At 43.5% G+C, this 19,210-nt stretch overlaps 1 protein-coding gene across 4 annotated transcripts in view; it reads left to right on the plus strand.

Moving 5' to 3' along the window:
* The window catches only part of NUP93 (nucleoporin 93), a 120,158-nt gene that overhangs the window by 88,065 nt on the left and 12,883 nt on the right, over window positions 1–19,210 (plus strand). For all 4 annotated transcript variants that reach the window (NM_014669.5, XM_005256263.4, NM_001242795.2 and 1 more), the window contains 12 exons: window positions 471–545; window positions 3,311–3,400; window positions 5,514–5,653; window positions 10,784–10,916; window positions 12,335–12,492; window positions 13,649–13,814; window positions 14,102–14,195; window positions 15,022–15,213; window positions 15,935–16,061; window positions 16,177–16,249; window positions 16,541–16,585; window positions 18,408–18,524. In NM_014669.5, coding sequence (NP_055484.3) covers window positions 471–545; window positions 3,311–3,400; window positions 5,514–5,653; window positions 10,784–10,916; window positions 12,335–12,492; window positions 13,649–13,814; window positions 14,102–14,195; window positions 15,022–15,213; window positions 15,935–16,061; window positions 16,177–16,249; window positions 16,541–16,585; window positions 18,408–18,524 — 1,410 coding nt within the window. The remainder of the gene's footprint in view (window positions 1–470; window positions 546–3,310; window positions 3,401–5,513; window positions 5,654–10,783; window positions 10,917–12,334; window positions 12,493–13,648; window positions 13,815–14,101; window positions 14,196–15,021; window positions 15,214–15,934; window positions 16,062–16,176; window positions 16,250–16,540; window positions 16,586–18,407; window positions 18,525–19,210) is intronic.

Genomic DNA, 19,210 nt, shown 5'->3' on the forward strand with positions numbered 1-19,210 from the left:
GTGTGGATTCTAGTGTGGAAATGTCTGAATCAGGTGTTTGACTCTATAAACTGCTTTCCCTCAACTGCCTGATATGATTGATGAAAAAGAGGCCCACTGATAAAAATAATGGCCTCACTAGTGTGAAGACATGGGAAGGGAGGATGAGGTAGAGAGGGGGCTTGAGATTCAAACAGAATGTTGGAAAGATGTACATTTCCAGAAAAAGTCATTGAGGTATTGATAGGGTTTATGCAGCCCCTCACTCTTTTTTAGTTAATCCAATCTCATGCCTGCTCTCTTCTCATGTGTTCATAGTAAAAGTTGCATGTTATTGAAATCCCTAAAATCATCACTTTGAGGAATTCTTAACTAGGAAACAGACTTTTCACAGCTCTGTTAAAGACAAGAATATGTTTATGATGTGATTTGATTTCTTCACATGACTGAATACTGTCCCTAACTGATTCTGAATGTGTATTTATCCACAGCCAAGCTACATCAGTGATGTGGGACCCCCTGGTCGAAGCTCTCTGGATAACATCGAGATGGCCTATGCGCGGCAAGTGAGTGTGATTTTAAGGGGGATTAAGCCAGGAAAATCCTTTGTGAACCTCTAGGGAGTAAAAGGAAACAAAAACTTGTAAAAGTCAAACCCTGAAAGCAAGTTGTATTTTTTCATTTAGAGAACTAGTTAATATTTTAGCATAGGCCACTGGAGAATTCTATCAAATAGGGTAATAGAATTACTCACATTTGATTTGAGGAAATTGAAATCTGTCCTTTACACTGACCATGGCATCTCAGTATGCATTTTTGGCAATAGTCCCATGTACAGTAAAGCTTCAGGTAACTGCGCTGCTTAGCAAATGGAGTTCCATATTAACTGAATTACCTGGTAGGCTGTTGGTATTAACAAATCCTTTTTTCACTCTTTGTTGAAAGAAATTTTCTAAATGCTTTTTTGTCTTAATAAGCATAGTGTATTCACTACTTAATACCACTGTTGTCCTAGAAAAGCTCATAATATTTTAGGGGTCATCCTTCTGGTTGTAGATGAGGACCGCCCAATAGTATGGATATGGACTGAGATGCTTTGTGGTAAGCACAGGAATTCTGTTGGACTGAAACCACCCTGAGGACCATACATAGCTGGAATTGACTTTTTAAATAAAGCAGTGCCAGCCAACTTTGTGCTTTATTGTAATTTGCTGCTTTCTCCCACAAAGTACAAAGAAGGAAAAATATCCTGTTTCTTGAATTGAGGGCAGTGGGCCTCCATCCCCTTAAGATTATCCTCCACCAGCAGTGGTCCAGGAATATCTGCTCAGCCATTACCACCTCCCAGATTCTTTGAGGGGGGACCCAGGGGTCCCACTTGTGGCCCTCAACATTATCCACCTCATCCTCCTCCAGCCTGGAGTAGGGTGGTTGGAGACAAAAACAGGGCAGCTATGGAGGTGAGCAGGGGACAGTGAGAAACTGTTAGACCCTGTGCTCTTTAACCAAGGGGTCTGTCTTCAGCTGCCAGTTATTTAGTCAGTGGCATTCCACATGAATTGAATTACCTGGTTAGCTGATGGTATTATCAGAAGTCCCTCTTTTACCCTTTGTTGAGAGAAATTTTCTAAATGTCTTTTTGAAAGTCTCTCTCTTTGGGGTGCCATTGCCACGTCAGACTCCAGGCAGCTGAAACCCCCAGCTTCATCACCTTCCCACACATGAGATCCCTTCCTTCCAACCCCTTTATGTTTTGCCACTGGCCTTCATTTATTTCCTCCTGCTCCAATTTTATACCTCTCTCTTTTTACTCCCCCTGTGCATCTGTATTCTTTACCCTTCACCTTCATTATATGGCTGACTCCTCTATTGCCATGGAGAGAAGCCTGATGAAATACAGGCTTCTGAGAAGAGAGACTATGTGTCTTCTACACCTGCAAAGACTAAAGATGTCATTAAACTAACATTTCATAGCACATACAACACCGTAATATTGTGTCTGTTTACACGGCTGTCCTCTCCACTAAAGAGTGAAGCTTTATATCCCATGTTGAACAGTACCTTGCAAAGGAAGGCCTGTAAGAAATGCTCATTGAGTGAATAAGTACTACGTCATGGTTTAAAACCATTTTATTGATTGGTTGGATGATTGATTGAGACGAAGTCTTGCTCTTTCACCCAGGCTGGAGTGCAGTGGTGCGATCTCAGCTCACTGAAGCCTCCACCTCTGCCTCCCAGATTCAAGTGATTCTCCTGCCTCAGCCTCCCAAGTAGCTGGGATTATAGGCATGCACCACCACACCAGGCTAATTTTTGTATTTTTAATACAGACCAGGGTTTCACCATGTTGGCTAGGCTGGTCTTGAACTTCTGACCTCAGGTGATCCACCTGCCTTGGCCTCCCAAAGTGCTGGGATTAAAGGCTTCAGCCACTGCACCCAGCGAAACCGTTTAATCTTCATAACAGCCCTGGAAGATGAATGATACTGATGTTCCCCCATTTAATGTAGAGGAAACTACAGTTCAACAGGGTCATGATTTGTCTAACATCACTACTATGGGAGAGCAAAGACTTCATATACAAAGTAGAATCTTCCACAAGAAGATTTAGAGCTTAACTAGTTAAGATTTAGAACTAGTTAAGCTCTAAATCTTAACTAGTGAAGTCCTGTTTCACTTCCCTACCAGGACTTAACTAGTTCTAAATCTAGAAGAGTGAATTTACGATTTCTACTATCATCATTTTAGCTCCTTGAAAATAAAATCTAAAGTAAGAGTGGCTTTCCCATACCTTAAATATCACATAGTTCATTTTCCTTAAGAAAATTTTACCTGAAGAACAGAGATTCTTTCCAGGAGAAATGGATATTCCACATGTGCCACACCTGCTATTCTAACACTTGTGGAGGGAGGCAGTGCCCAACATTCCCCACTCCATCCATGAACCCTATACCAGGGCCATTCAGTCCTTTTGAAAGAATTGAGTCCTTTGCCTTGGTTATTAGGAAGCAGCAGCCAGAGCCCTTCCATTCTCCTGTCTTCCCCTGGGTGCTTCCTCACTAGGACAGAGGCACAGACCTGCCTGTGGTTCTTCTCCCCCTGGACCCCGCTGCTCCCGTTCCTCAGGTGTTTGGAAGGTGGGGTGGCAGTTAGCTTTGGTGTGTTACCCACAACCCCAACGCAACTGGGGAGCTGGCCAGTGTGGATGGCTCAGCCACTCCGAGGAAGGAAAGGTTGGCCGAAGCTTCTGCCGGCCATTGCCTGCTTCAGGAGGTTTAAAAAGAAGAGAAAATAGATACTTTGCCATTTACTTTGCTTTTTATCATTTCAGATTTATATCTATAATGAGAAAATTGTAAATGGACACCTGCAGCCTAACCTGGTGGACCTTTGTGCTTCCGTCGCAGAGCTCGATGATAAGGTAGCACCTAGAGCTAACTCAAGTAGAAACCGGGGTCCAGTGTTCCGATGGGCCTAGCAACTTGCCGATTTGGTTGAAATGTGCTGCGGAGACACGCCATTCTGTGGAATGAAATGTTAACTGTTCTTCAGTTTTATTTTAAATAACTTTGGGTGGTTTTCTTGATGATGAATTTTTAAAAATGCATCTTCAAAAGGCCCTGCCAGTATCAATTGATAGTCACAAGAGTTCTCTTCAAGCCGTATTTGCTTTGAAGTCCCATCAGGCTTTTACTCCCCACTCACCAGTTTCCCTCCTTACACAATCTAGTAGGCTCCTTAATGAGAGCAGAATTGTTAAGGTGATGGCTTTTTACACCTGTGAGCCCTCGAACTTGACTCGGTGGGGCCTTTGTGAGCATTCTTTATATACCACTGGTTCTGTTCCTCTGACACACACATATACTGCCTTTATTTGTTCTCCTGCCTCACCCTTTATTCCTGGCCAGTTTTCTCCCATAAGGGGCAAAAAAAAAAAAAAAAAAGGGGGATGGATGACTACTTGGTGGGTGGCTAGGAGGAAGGAAGAAGGGAGGGAAGGCTATTATGGAAGCAAGCACCCATACACAGATTTTTTTTGTCTTTTTAAAAATTGCTCAGCCCGTTGTGGTGGCTCACATCTGTAACCCTAGCACGTTTTGAGGCTGAGGTGGGTGGATTGCTTGCACCCAGGAGTTCAAGACCAGCTTGGGCAACATGGCAAGACCTCTTCTCTACAAAAAATAGAAAAATTAACCAGGTGTGGTGGCATGCACCTGTAGTCCCAGCTACTCGAGAGGCTGAGGTGGGAGGATTGCCTGAGTCCGGGGGGGCCCAGGCTGCAGTGAGCCATGATCATGCCAGTGTATTCCAGCCTGGGTGACAAAGAGTGAGGCCCTGTCTCAAAAAAAAAAAAAAAAGTAACTTTTTCTTTTCTTTCTTTCTTTTCTTTTCTTTTTTTTTTTTTGAGTTGAAGTTTCACTGTTGTTGCCCAGGCTGAAGTGCAATAATGAGATCTGGGCTCACTGCAACCTCCACCTCCTGGGTTCAAGCGATTCTCCTACCTCGGCCTCCCGAGTAGCTGGGACTACAGGCACCTGCCACCATGCCTGGTTAATTTTTTTTGTATTTTTGGTAGAGACGGGGTTTCACCATGTTGGCCAGGATGGTCTCAAGCTTAATTTTTTTAAATACTAAAATATAAGACAATGTAAACAGATCTAAAGAAGAAAGTCAGGTTTCACCAATCATTCCACCACTTAGGAAGAGTCACATTTGTCTGGACATTCTAAAATTTTAATTTTTGAGACAGACCATGAAAACAGGCTTTTCTCTTTTGCTTTGGAACAAGTATAAACCTGCTTTTTCTCCAATCAGTGCTATCCTGCAAGGACTCATACATTTAAAGTATTGCCAAGGGTTCAGGGAACACGTTGTTTTTAAGGAGCCATTTACAGGCAGAAGGATTCTGGGGAGAGGGAGTCCCAGCTGTGTGGTGGTAACACAGAGGAAAGAACACCCGCTCCTTTCCTGGGAGGCGTCTTTTGAAGGGAGTGAGTGGGAAGGAAAATGGGAGGCTGTGACGCTCACCAAGTAACGTAAGAGCGGTGGCCCCTGGAGCGTCTCTGGGAGGACAAAAACCTGTATTATTATGTTAAAGTCTTATTTTAAGCCTTTAGAAACTCAGATAACCTTGTAAGGACTGAAATGCAGCTCTTTGAGTTTAAACTTCTAGAACTTTGGATGATTATAAATGGATTCCTTGTCTCTGAAGGGATAACCCACTGAGATTCAGTGTTCTCGTGACTTGTATGTGGTTTTAATTATGTACGTGGTTATGTCAGACCTGGAATAGTAATTGATCTGAAAACCAACTCAGGGCAGGGGCAGGGGTGCTCATCGGTGGATGGAACTCTGAAGTCTGGCCAGCAGAGACGCATCTTCTGCACTGAGCTTAAGCCTAGCCGTCACAGACAGATGACATTAACCTCATCCCCCACCACATTCTGCCCCCTTTGGAGGTCAGAGTGCCACAAAGAACTAGATAATTTCTCTGGCCCTGCAGCATTGTCACATGCAGTTTCATTTATGTGCAGAGCATTTCCGACATGTGGACCATGGTAAAACAAATGACAGACGTGTTGTTGACACCGGCAACGGATGCCCTGAAGAACCGCAGCAGCGTGGAAGTGCGCATGGAGTTTGTCAGGCAGGCCTTGGCGTACCTTGAGCAGAGGTAAGGCAGCAGTAGCACAGTGGGGCTGGCTTTCACATCCTTTGCAGTCAACTGTTTCTCAGATCTTAAGTTGTCCTCAGGCTAGGTGTGCTGTAGGTATAATTTAAGATTTATTATGTTAAATTGAACAAGGTTCAGAGTTGTAATCCTGTTTCAGAAATCCTGTTTCACTTCCCTACCAGGACTGTTTCTGCAGTGGTATAAAAATCACACGTCAAAAAATCATGGTAAATGAGCACTGTTCGAATTCCCTTTTTCTTTCTCCACACTCTCTTAATACGTAAGGCCGTAGTGCCTTAGGTCATAATCTTTTTCTAATGTGGTTCAGCCATTACTCCTTAGGCTCTTTTCTCTCCACATTTTAATTTTACTCCCAGGCATGTTACTACCTTCAAACCCTAGGAAAACTCGTTTCCCCTTATTTTTGTTCTGACTCTACTTGGTTAATTCCCATAAGTCAGGGTCATTCTGAGCTGATAATGCCTGTGATTTATGCCTGGGTTTCTTTGCCACCTCCTCACCAATCAGAGCTGGTCACTGAGGGGTTTGTGGCAGTGCCTTTGTGCCCGAAGTATTGTTCCCTTCGTTAGTAGGACCCATGCCATCATCCCTCCCTGTGGACACTCCTTCCAACTCTGAATTGGCCAGCAGGGGTTGTCATGAGTGTGCAATAGAATCTCTTTATTTTAGAGACAGGGTGCTGGGCCCCTCCCTGCTGGCCTGAGAAGAGAAAGCCAAGTTGAATACACTTGCTAAATTGCAGGCCTTTGCCACTCAGCCTCTGCACCTGCCAGCAGCCTTGCAGTAAGATTGCCTTTTGTCAATAAAACGATACTTCATTAGGAAGTCAGAAGATTTCCTTGTATGTTACTGAGGTAATTCAAACTTGGTACAGCAGAGAATAGGTTTTTATACCAAATACTGTATTAATTACATGAGAGCTACTGAAATGAACACCATCAGACACATTACATTCACTAGCTTCCATTCCCTGGTTAAGAAAAATCTGGAGCTCAAAATGGATTTTTATTCTCCTAGTATAGGAATAAAGGGTTTATAAAATAATTCATCCAAGCGTTAGCTGAATTTTTGTGTTTAAGTTTTGGGTTTATCAATCTTCAGCCATAAAGAACCTACATACATAGTAGCATTTATTTGTTACCAGTCAGCAAAATGAGTCAGAATTTCTTATACTATATAAAAACTTCCCAGGAATTTTTTTTTTTTTGTAAGACAGTCTGGCTCTGTCACCCATGCTGGAGTGCAGTGGCATAATCTGGGCTCGCTGCAACGTCTGCCTCCCAGGCTCAAGCAGTCCTCCCACCTCAGCCTCCTGAGGTGTGTGCTACCATACCCAGCTTTTTTTTTTTTTTTTTTTTTTTGAGATGGAGTTTCGCTCTTGTTGCCCAGGCTGTAATGTAATGGTGTGATCTTGGCTCTGTGCAACCTCTGCCTCCCGGGTTCAGGCGATTCTCCTGCCTCAGCCTCCTGAATAGCATGGTTGCCTATCACCATGCCTGGCTAATTTTTGTATTTTTAGTAGAGATGGAGTTTCACCATGTTGGCCAGGCTGGTCTTGAACTCCTGACCTCAGGTGATCCACTGGGCTCAGCTTCCCAAAGTGCTGGGATTACAGGCGTAAGCCACCGTGCCTGGCCTAGGATTTTTTTTAATTTTTATTTTTTTTCAATGAGTGTAAGTGTATGACTGCTCATGACTACTTTTTTCTTGATCACCCTAATCCTTAACATTGGTCCTTGACTTCACCAATGGTACTGGGCTGCTTTCCTTGGTTTTAAATTGCTGGTAAGCCAGTCCATTTCTTTTAGTCTTTTCGTTTAGTTTTAAAAATTATCTTGTTCCATTAATTTCTTTAATGGTGCTTCTTGGAGCTATTTGGGAATTTCCTGTTCATAATTGTAATCTTAAGTTTATTTTTCACTCTAGTGGCATCACTCTCTCATGGCATCTTTTGTGAGCATTCATTGTCACCTTTGATAAAGGGGGTATTTTAGAATAATTATACTGAGTTTTAAAATATTTTTCTCTGCTGCTGATTCACTGACAGTATGCATATAATAGTTCAAGTGATGTAATGCACCAGATGGCAAAGTAGACCAGGCCCAAATAATTTTTCAATTACAGGGCTGAAATGTTGTGAAAATATAGGATTGGTCTGTCTCTTCCCTGCCACATTCCAAGATTTGAGGCATGATATATATTTCTTAGCCCTCAAGGAATTTAGACTTCTTCAGCTTAGGCCCTTGTCAGCACATGAACTGTCTTAATTCAAATTGGAAGAGACCATAGTGGGCATCTGTTTGTCCTGGCTGCTACAGAACTCCTCAATTTCTTATCCAACCTCTGCTTATAAATACTTCCAGGCCGGGCGCAGTGGCTCACACCTGTAATCCCAACACTTCGGGTGGCCAAGGTGGGTGGATCACCTGAGGTCAGGAGTTCAAGACCAGCCTGGCCAACATCGTGAAACCCCGGTTATACTAAAAATACAAAAATTAGCTGGGTGTGGTGGTGTGCACCTGGCGCAAGTCCCAGCTACTTGGGAGACTGAGACAGGAGAATCACTTGAACCTGGGAGGCAGAGGTTGCAGTGAGCCGAGATCGTGCCACTGCACTCCAGTCTGGGCAACAAAGCAAGACTCCGTCTAAAAAAAAAAAAAAAAAACAACTTCCAATGATGGGGAACTCATTAACATTTGTTAAATTTTGTTTGTTTTTCATTATAAAAATGATACATCCTTATTATAGAAACTTTGGAAGATGCTAAAAATAAGACGTGAAAAAGGAGGGGAGGACCCGTATACCATCTAGAGGCTCCTATTACCTTGTTGTATTTCTTTTTTCCCCCCGTTCTTGACGTGTATTTTTTTTCATAACTGCATAAAATTTCATTGAGTCGGCTGGGTGCAGCGTCTCACGTCTGTAATCCCAGCACTTTGAGAGGCCGAGGCGGGCAGATCACGAGGTCAAGAGATTGAGACCATCCTGGCCAACATGGTGAAACCCCTTCTCTACTAAAAATACAAAAATTAGCCAGGCATGATGGTGCACACCTGTAGTCCCAGCTACTCAGGAGGCTGAGTCAGGAGAATTGCTTGAACCCGGTGGGCAGAGGTTGCAGTGAGCCGAGGTGGCGCCTCTGTACTCCAACCTGGGGATGGAATGAGACTCCGTCTCAAAAAAAAAAAAAAAAAAAAAAAAATTTTGTTGAGTCTGTTTCCTGTTATTAAGATTTAGGTTGTTTTACTCTCTCTGTTGTTTTATTTAACCTGGTGTTGAACACCTGACTTTTTGAGGTAGTCTCTTGTTTTTGACAAGAACATATTATATTTAGAAAGTTATTACATTAACCACATATTTGGGTATCTGTGAATTGGACTATTTAATCTTGGTATGGAAACACTTAAAACCACTGCAGAGGATTTTAAGAAGCATGCTAGCAAATAAATGGAGAGGGAATGGTAGAAAAATCATCATTTTGCGACCACCAGTGTAATAACTGGTGCGGCAAGGACCATCAATGGAAAGTAAAACCGTTGAGTAAAAGATTGTTGGTGAATAGAATACTTGCATGACTTCCATGTATTGCCCCACAGACTACTTATTAAGTACAAAGAGAATAATAAATTGTAACGGAGAAATCTGGTGGACATCTTTCAAGCAAGTGAATCATATCTAGTGTTACCAATAAAGAAGCAAACCTACTACCTACTTCATTGTGGGATTCAGTGGGAAGTGCCAGCATTAGCTATGTAGGGCTACTGGCAAAAAAATTGAACCTGAATCAAATAATGATCCAGCTTACAAGATATTCTACCAGACAGCTGGACTGGACTCTATAAATAAAAGGTTAGTGTCCAGCTGAGCATGGTGGCATGTACCTCTAGCACCAGCTACTCAGGAGATTGAGGGGGGAAGATTGCTTGAGCCCAGGAGTTCGAGGCAGTAGAGTGCTTTAAAGGCACTTGTGGGCCAGCCATGGTGGCTCATGCCTGTAATCCCAGCACTTTGGGAGGCCAAGGCGGGAGGATCACTTGAGGTCAGGAGTTCGAGACCAGCCTGGCCAAAATGGTGAAACCCCATCTCTACTAAAAACACGAAAATTAGCTGGGCGTGGTGGCCCACGCCTGTAATCCCAGCTGCTTGGGAGGCTGAGACAAGAGAAATGCTTGAAAACCCAGGAGGCAGAGGTTGCAGTGAGCCAAGATCATGCCACTGCACTTCAGCCTGGGCGACTAGAGTGAGAATCCATCTCAAAAAAAAATAAGGGCACTTGTTAATAGGCACTGCATCCCAGCCTGGGAACCACAACAAGACCCTGCCTCTTAAAAAAAAAAAAAAAAAAAAGATCATTGTCATGAAAGACAAAAATAGTGGTAGAATTAATGGAATTATCTTAGATTAAGGGAAAGTGGCTTGACAATTATATTTTCTTGATGAGATTCTGGATTTAAAAACTGTAAAGGACACTATTAAGAAATGTGGGTTATATTTTTGATAATAATAAATTAATGTTAAGTTTCTTGGTATCATAATGATACTGAGGTTAGGCAGGAGAAGGTCCTAGTTCTTCAGAGCCATATGGTATTTATGGATAAAGTAGCCCCTGATTTTTATAACATATTTTCAAGGGGTTTGAGGGGAGAAAAATGTTATGTGTATGTGTAGAGAGAAAACATAAAGAAATGTTAAAAATTGGTGAATCTAGGTAAAAGGTTATGTGCATTCATTGAACTATTCTTTTAATTTTTTGTAGGTTTGAAAGTGTTCAAAATAAAAAGTTTAACAAGAACCAACCAGAACATTAGGCTGTGAGCTGGAGCAATTATTATTCTGTATATCCACCCTTAATGTATTTGAAGTCCACAGTTGTGTTCCTCCAGGGATTCTTTTGAGTTTCCTCAGTGATGAGAAATCTACTGTGATCCACAGCCCACTGAGTAATAATGTAGTTTGCTTCATTAAGCATGTACTATTTCCTCTTCTGCATTGAGCTTGAAGTCTAGGCCCTGCCCTTCCAAGCTACAGTGTAATGTCATGGATATGGGCATAGAGATGTGTAATAAATGTTTTCAGTCTTCCCTGTTTTTTCCTTTAAAATTTTTCCAGTTATAAGAATTACACCCTTGTGACTGTCTTTGGAAATTTGCATCAGGCCCAGCTGGGCGGGGTGCCTGGGACTTACCAATTGGTTCGAAGTTTCCTGAACATTAAACTGCCAGCTCCCTTGCCTGGACTACAGGTACTGACAACTTTCTCTGTGTGATCAGTTACACCCCCAGAGCAGTTGCCCTCAGATGGGCATTTTCAGTTAAAATGAGGGTATCTGTGGAGACTACTGTGTGGAGATGGGACCAGAGAGGGGTGAGGACAGAAGGTAAAGACCTCTTAGGAGGCTGATAGTACAGAAGTCCAGGTGATGGTGGACTCAGCTCCGGGTGGAGAAGAGTGCATGGAGAAGATGTCATTGGGTTCTGGACATGTTTTGAAAGCTGAGCCAATAGGACTTGCTGAAGAACATGGATTTGAGTGTGAGAGGCAGAGTCAGGGATGACTTCTGAGATTTTTGGCTAAAACAGCTGGAAGAATGGAGTTGAATGTAGTTTTTAGGATGTGGTCTCTTCTCAGCTCGTGGTCCAGTTGGGGAGATTATCATACAGTAATGCAAAGCCCTAAACTGGAGCCTTATGCAAAGGGTGGCAGGATACAGAGGAGATTAGCTGCATAAAGAAGGTGAGATTCGCACTTGCTCTTAAAGAATAGGAGTTCACCAACCTGAAGTTTTGGAAAAGAGTATTCCAGGAGGAGGTAACACATGCACAAATGCATGGAGGCAGGAGAGAGTATCGGGAGGACTGGGTGCACAGTAGGGCTTGGCAAGCTTGGGGCCCACTAGTGAAGGCCTTAAGTGCCAGGCCCAGCACTTTGGACTTAAACAGCTCAAAGGGGTTTAAGTGGGCAAGTTCAGATCTGGGTTTTAGAAAGAGTCCTGTTGAGGGAAGGGTGGAAGTGCCAAGATAGGAGGCCTGAAGTCTACTTCTGGAGGAGTTGAAGAAAAGCAAAGACAGAAGCGTAAGCGCAGGCCGCTGTGCAGACAAATGGCAAAACCAGACTTGGGATAAATAAGCTGTAGTATTCAGAGAGTGGGAACGGAGCTGTCTCTCAGATCCCCAGTGCCCAGCAGTACCTGACACCAAGATACTGAGTAAAATGTTTATGACGTTTTATAAACTTGAGTGCTATAAGGATAGTCTCTTACTGGTCAGTGACATCTTTAGCCTTTGCTTTGTGGGATTGTAGGAGTGCATGTGTGTATATTATCACAAAAGAACATCACCCAGTTACTATGGGCCCCTGGGATTCCATGGAAAAACCACAGGGTGGCTTTGGATCAAGTTGGGTACAAAGCACTTCAGAGGAAAAGCTCTGGAGCCATATTGCCACTTAACAGCTTACTTGAACAGATGACTTAACCCCTCCATGCCTCAGTTTCCTTGTTTGTAAAACAGGAAAAGGCTGTTAATGGTTCTCACTGCAGGGAGCTGTTCTGAAGATTAAGTGACATATTATAAAGGAGAGGGGCTTAGCTCGGTTTTAGCACATATGAAAGCAGTCAGCCTTTCCTTGTTTATTTTGAGCACTTAACTGTTCCTCTTTTAGGATGGAGAGGTGGAAGGCCATCCTGTGTGGGCGCTAATTTACTACTGCATGCGCTGTGGAGACCTGCTTGCCGCTTCACAGGTAGTTAATCGAGCCCAGCACCAGCTGGGAGAGTTTAAAACCTGGTTCCAGGAGTACATGAACAGCAAGGACAGAAGGTATGGTGAATGAGGTGGCACGCCCAGGGGCAGCCATGCAGAATCAAAGGGGCATCCTTCACTGTCATTATTCTCTTTTCCCTGGACGGGCCCAAAACAAGTTTCTGCTTGGGGGAAAAAGGAAGTTTTGAAAGCAAATAGAACTCTCTTGGGAATAAGGAGTGAAAACATTAAAAGAATGCCCCATTCTGACACTGATGTCTAGGCATGCATGCATCTGTGTTTGGGAATTTTTCTGTTCCTACAAGGGAGGGCCAGGTTTAGGAGCATGATTTGACTTATTCTGTAAATCTAAGGCACATCAAGGATGCTTTATAAAATGGGACTTTTTAAAAGTTACACTTGTTAACACTTAATGCTTTTTTGGTCAACCAATATGAAAATATGTTGTCACGTACTTCGTAGCTTAAAGGCTAGAATTAGAAGTTAGTAAAATTGAAATATAATCATTGAATTGATTCATTAAGTCTTTAAGTTCTCTTGCATTAAGGAACTGCTAAGCATTAATTTTCCTTGGATTTTGCTAATGTAATTGGACTTAAGCTCATACTCAAACTGAGGTTATATATATGTACATGTATGTAGAAGAAATGATGGCGGTTACTGTAGCTGTACTTGTGAAAAACTAGGATACTTTTCTTGGCAGCATTACTAATGTCATATCAAGAGATTGCCTCAAACCAGAAGCCCCTGTCTTGCTCATGTTAGAATTTAAAGTAGGGTTAATGTCTTAAGGTTCCCCCAGAAGGAGATTTGAGTGCAAGTTGTTTATTTAGGAGGTGATCTCACATGAATAAGGGAGTGTGGAGGCCAGGGAGGGGCTAAGACAGTTAAGGGAAGGATTCACTCCTGTCCATCACTGCTTGAGTGCTGCTGGGTTGTGCAATGGAGTTCTAATTCCCTGGCATTTCTCACCTGCCCATGAAGGCCTCAGCAAATAGAAAACCGGCAGGCCAATAGATACAGGTGCAGGTAGTTGCAAGTCAGGTTAAAGCGATGGTACCGAGGGGAGGGGATGGGGCAGAGACAGTGTCTCTTACCCCGGATGAAGGAAGGCTTCCCTGCTTTTATGTGTTTGGGACCTGGGACGCTTTCAGATGCCCTTGAGGATTTTTATTGAGTATGTATCTATCTGTCTGTTCCCTTATGTCTGTAGATTGTCCCCAGCTACGGAAAACAAGCTCCGGCTGCATTACCGTAGGGCCCTCAGGAACAATACAGATCCCTACAAGCGGGCCGTGTACTGTATCATTGGCAGATGTGACGTCACCGACAACCAGAGTGAAGTGGCGGACAAAACTGAGGATTACCTGTGGCTGAAGGTAGGCACTGTTTCCCCTGCCCACATAGGGCTTTACCCCTTTTCTGTGCTCAAGTCCCCGCAAAGATTTTACCTGCTTAATGTATGATGCCAATACAGTGATCAGGACCAGTGGGTTCCTCGTCTCCTGTCCCCATTTTTTGTTGTGTAATTCCCAGCTCATAACCATAGCCTTAAACACAGCTTCTAGCTGACATCATTGAGCATGGCTGCTGAACAGCTACAACTCTGTGCATGTGGCTCAGGGTGTCATTTGTACCAATGCATGTGTTTCTCTTGGGGATTTAGTTGAACCAAGTGTGTTTTGACGACGATGGCACCAGCTCCCCACAAGACAGGCTCACTCTCTCACAGTTCCAGAAGCAGTTGTTGGAAGACTATGGTAAGATTCTGGACATAACCACCTTTCCCTTCTCTTGTCCACTTAAGGTGACTACTTCAGTTTTCCTCTGGGAAAATTTTTCATCTCTGAACTTTTGTCTTTCTTCCAAAACTCCTATAGATTGTCAAGGCAAAACACAACAAAACTACCATTCCAAATTCAAATAAAGGGCATGTGGCCTTAAGAAATACATAAAACTTATATGGTCATACACAATAATCTGTTTTCTCTAATTCTTTGAACTGTTCTAGTAGACATATGCTCAGGGAGAGAAAAAGAAGACTTAGCTGTTGCTTCCTAGTCGATCGTACCAGTCACTAGATCTGAGCACAAAGGAGAGAGAAACAGCCTTTCTTCTTTTTTCCCGTATTTTTTAAAAACTGAGAAGAAAAGAAGATTCCAAATAGTGGTTACCAGTTGTTGCATTCAGATTTCTGTGACTGTGAGTAAACTGAAACTCCTTTGAAATCTTCATTTCTCTCCTTGAGTGACTTAACAGGGTAAAGGAGATAAACACTCTCTGTGGTCCATTTTAAGGTCCTTAGCTCTGTTTCTCTCCCACCTAATGCAAGCAGTTGGAGTTTTACAGCACAGTCACAGTTTCCAGTAATGTTATGAGGTCTAGAGAAGGTGGAGGAGCCAGGTCACATTTCACATGGCAGTTTACTGTATTCAGGGCCCCCTTGATCAATTCAGACTCAATCTGGTGCTTTCTTCCTGTCCAGCAAGTCCTGTGGGCTCACAGGGCTGCTGCCTGGGGGTTGGGCCACCAGTGAGCCCCTTCTTTCTAAGTTGGTTTTATCTCCTCTCCTCTCCTCTCTCCCAGGCGAGTCCCACTTTACGGTGAACCAGCAACCCTTCCTCTACTTCCAAGTCCTGTTCCTGACAGCGCAGTTTGAAGCAGCAGTTGCCTTTCTTTTCCGCATGGAGCGGCTGCGCTGCCATGCTGTCCATGTAGCACTGGTGCTGTTTGAGCTGAAGCTGCTTTTAAAGTCCTCTGGACAGAGTGCTCAGCTCCGTGAGTATTTGGGATTGGATTGACAGTAATGTAACCACAGCACGTCCCCCTTGGGGCGACGGTGGCCACAAAACCACAACCAATAAGGATTTGAGCAAAGGGTACCAGTCATTTTAGAGCATGTGGACAGTTGAGCTTTTTAGATGATTAGTGTTAAGGGTTCCTGCTTCCCCCCCACCCCCCAGCATTAGTATTCCCTTGAAAGTTAAGTATATAAAGTGATGTTCAAAGTACTAGCTTTGTGGCCAGTCTGATTGCCTGGAAAATGCTGAAGAAGCAGCCCCTAGAGTTATGGGTCTGATTCCCATTAGGGCTGGCTTTAATGACATTGGAAACCCCAGCCAGGCATGTGCATACCTGCCTGGGATGAGAGAGTCAGGGGAGAGAGAGGAAGTAAATGTGGATGAATGGCTGCAGGTTCCTTATTGTTGCAGCAAAGTCATCCCAGAGCACATGCCATAATCGTCAGTTGGATTATGTTTTCACTCAAAGACCAGCATATTAGTAATTTATGGCAAAGTGCTGTTTTCTCCACTCTGGGCCTGGGGATGAATTGAGGATAGGATGGTAAAAGGGACTGGCCAAAGCTTATATTAGCAAACTTTGACTGGGCTGCAGGAGTAGATGCTGCTGGGTCTGTGGATTCAGCTTCCATAGTTTCTGGGTTGCATGGGTCAGAGGGGCAGTGTGGTTGTGACCCATTCTGACCCCCACAATGCAGTCAGCCACGAGCCTGGTGACCCTCCTTGCTTGCGGCGGCTGAACTTCGTGCGGCTCCTCATGCTGTACACCCGGAAGTTTGAGTCCACGGACCCAAGGGAGGCCCTCCAGTACTTCTATTTCCTCAGGTAACATTTGCTTTTGACCATTTACTTCAGCTAGTTTCAATTTCTGCCATTCTGAGAATGACTATTAGAGACCTCATGTCCAGACTGGAAACTGAGTTGTTTATTTCCCTTACAGGGATGAGAAAGATAGTCAAGGAGAAAACATGTTTCTGCGCTGTGTGAGTGAGCTTGTGATTGAAAGCCGAGAGGTGAGTGGGTTTCCTTTTCTCTCCTCCCCATGGTTTTCAGTGTGCATGTCCCATGCTCATTCCGTATTGCGTGTTTACTTCAATATGGTTGTGGTGGATAAGGCCTAGGGAGTTTTTGGAGTTTCTTTGGTTTCTAACAATGAAAATATTTATTTCAGTCACACTGATTTTTAGTTTGCCTAAGACTTATCCCATTCATCCCATTTGATTCCCCTCTTTTTTCTCTGAAGACTTATGGAATATGTTTATATCTTTGTCCAATAATTTGAGTAAACTTTTTTCCTTCCACAGTTCGATATGATTCTTGGGAAACTAGAGAATGACGGAAGTAGAAAGGTGAGTTAAATGCATCCTTAGAGAAATGTTCGTTAGCCATTGGGGATTTATAAATATCAAAAAATACACTTAGATTTTAAGATTCAAGGTACTAAAGATGCAAATCTGAACAGAGTTGCTTAATTTAAAAAATGGAATGAAAATTATGGGCCCAAATGATGACCTTGGTTTTACACACACTTATATCTCCTTAAAATATGTTAATTTGTGATTACATAGCTTTTTTATTATGTTCAGAATATTCATTTGTTCATGCCTGTCATTTTTTGAGCTGAGAATGCTATTATACATTTCTGCCATTCTTGGCTCAGAAAACATGCAAGGAAAAGAAATTGATTACTGCACCCATTCTCCCAAGATGGGAAAGTTAGACATGCACTTGACCTCCTTCAAAATGCAGTTTCCAAGGGCTTTGAACTCCACAGTGACCCTGGAAATACTTCTGGAAGCTTGAGGGATTTCAGGACTCACTATGCCCATTGGTTGTCATGGCAGGAGGGTCAGAGATCCTGTTGTCAGAGACCAGTCATGACCCTGAATCTCCCTGTGGCCCTTGGAAAGTCACTTGTCCCTCAGGGGCTGAGTTTTCTCGTTTGTAAAAATGAGTGATTTGGACCCAGCAATCTGTAGATGAGCTCACACTGCTCACACCATCTACCTCAGAAGAAAGGCAAGTGACAGTGCTGATGACAGTGGCCTTGCTTATTGGGCAGTGACAATCAACAGGCATTGTGCTGAGTGCTTTGCATAGTTTCTTCTTTAACAGGCTGCACTGGGGCCAGGAGGCTCCTACTGTATGTGAGTTGACAGAGCTAGAAACATAGATAAGACCTTATCCTCTGCTACCTCCCAAGTGGCAGGGCAAGTCACCTCAACCTGGTCCAGCCACCTTGACCTGGTCTAGCCCTGAGAGTCCAGCGCTAGTGGAGAAGCAGAATGGCCAGGCAGAGATGTTATGCACTTGCCTTCATTCTCCCAGGGTGCCTAAGGCCTCTCTCATGCTCTCCTGACCATTTAGTTGCTGTTGAGTGGTGATGGTGATTTTTTTTTAAGAAATGTCCTGTTACCAGCCGGGCGCGGTGGCTCACGCCTGTAATCCCAGCACTTTGGGAGGCCGAGGCGGGTGGATCATGAGGTCAGGAGATCGAGACCATCCTGGCTAACACGGTGAAACCCTGTCTCTATTAAAAATACAAAAAAATTAGCCAGGCGTGGTGGTGGGTACCTGTAGTCCCAGGTGCTCGGGAGGCTGAGGCAGGAGAATGGTGTGAACCTGGGAGGCAGAGCTTGCAGTGAGCCGAGATTGCGCCACTGCACTCCAGCCTGGGAGACAGAGCAAGACTCTGTCTCAAAAAAAAAAAAAAAGAAATGTCCTGTTACCACTTGCTGTGTGTTTTTTCAGCACTGAGTTCCTTTTGCCATCTGTCTTAGAAAGCAAATCCAAAATTTTTCAGATATTTTTTCTAAGCCTCCTGATTTTTCTCTCTAGTTCCTACTTATCAGCAAATTTAAAATCATTGATTTCACTGACTCTCTGGGTCATTTTGGAAAATTAGAAAGCACAGATGTCTTATTGCTGACTCCTCTGTGCTTCTAGTAAGTCTGCCCTTTCATGTGTAGTTTCCTTGGTCTCTTTTATAGTTTTAATAGGACTTTATATCTTTAAGAAAGCCAGAGTCTGGCTGATGAAATATATGCGTTGCCCAGGGCAAGCAATTCCACTTGAAGTATTTTTTGGATCCTAATTGCTTCTCTGTGTTTAAAATAATAGCTCTGTGCACCCGTCTCTCTCTTCCTCCCCCTCCATAATTTGTCTTGTCAGCCTGGAGTCATAGATAAGTTTACTAGTGACACAAAGCCTATTATCAACAAAGTTGCTTCTGTGGCAGAAAATAAAGGACTGTTTGAAGAGGCAGCAAAGCTGTATGACCTTGCCAAGGTAAAGTGTGCCCACTTCCTTCTTTTGCACTTCACAGGTCTGCTGGCCTTTTGGCATTAAATGTGCAGCCACTTGGACAGTGTCATTGTTGTAGCACCCTCCCTGCAGAGGCATTTGCTCTAGTGCTTAGACAGTTAATGGTCCAGTCAGGACAGAATTCCCATTTTACAGCATTATTTCTGCCCATAAGATTTTTCTGACCAAACAACATATTGAAAGGATGTCCTGCAGGCATTGAACTGTTGTCTCACTTGGCAGCAGAATTAGCATCCATCACATTTCGATGGTGAAGCCACTGTTGAAAATTACATTATGCTGACCCTGGCAACCACAGACACACTGGGGAACAGTGGTGTTAGAAAATAAGACCACATCAGTGTGCAGGAAGGAGTGAAAGAAAATAAGACCTTAGCTGGGCGTTTTGAGAGGACTAGAATACATGTTTCTACCGAAGAACAAATGATGACTAAGAACATATGATAACTGCTAAGGATTCTATGACCTAAACAAGATTACATTCTCTCCTTTATCAACTGAGAAAAGTAGACAAAAAAACAGCTATAGGCCAAGTGCAGGGGCTCACGCCTGTAATCCCAGCACTTTGGGAGGCCAAGGCAGGCGCATCACTTGAGGCCAGGAGTTCGAGACTAGCCTGGCCAACATGGCAAAACCCCGTCTCTACTAAA

This window comes from Homo sapiens, chromosome 16 (genome assembly GCF_000001405.40).
Source record: "Homo sapiens chromosome 16, GRCh38.p14 Primary Assembly".
In the NCBI taxonomy this organism is placed as follows: domain Eukaryota; kingdom Metazoa; phylum Chordata; class Mammalia; order Primates; family Hominidae; genus Homo; species Homo sapiens.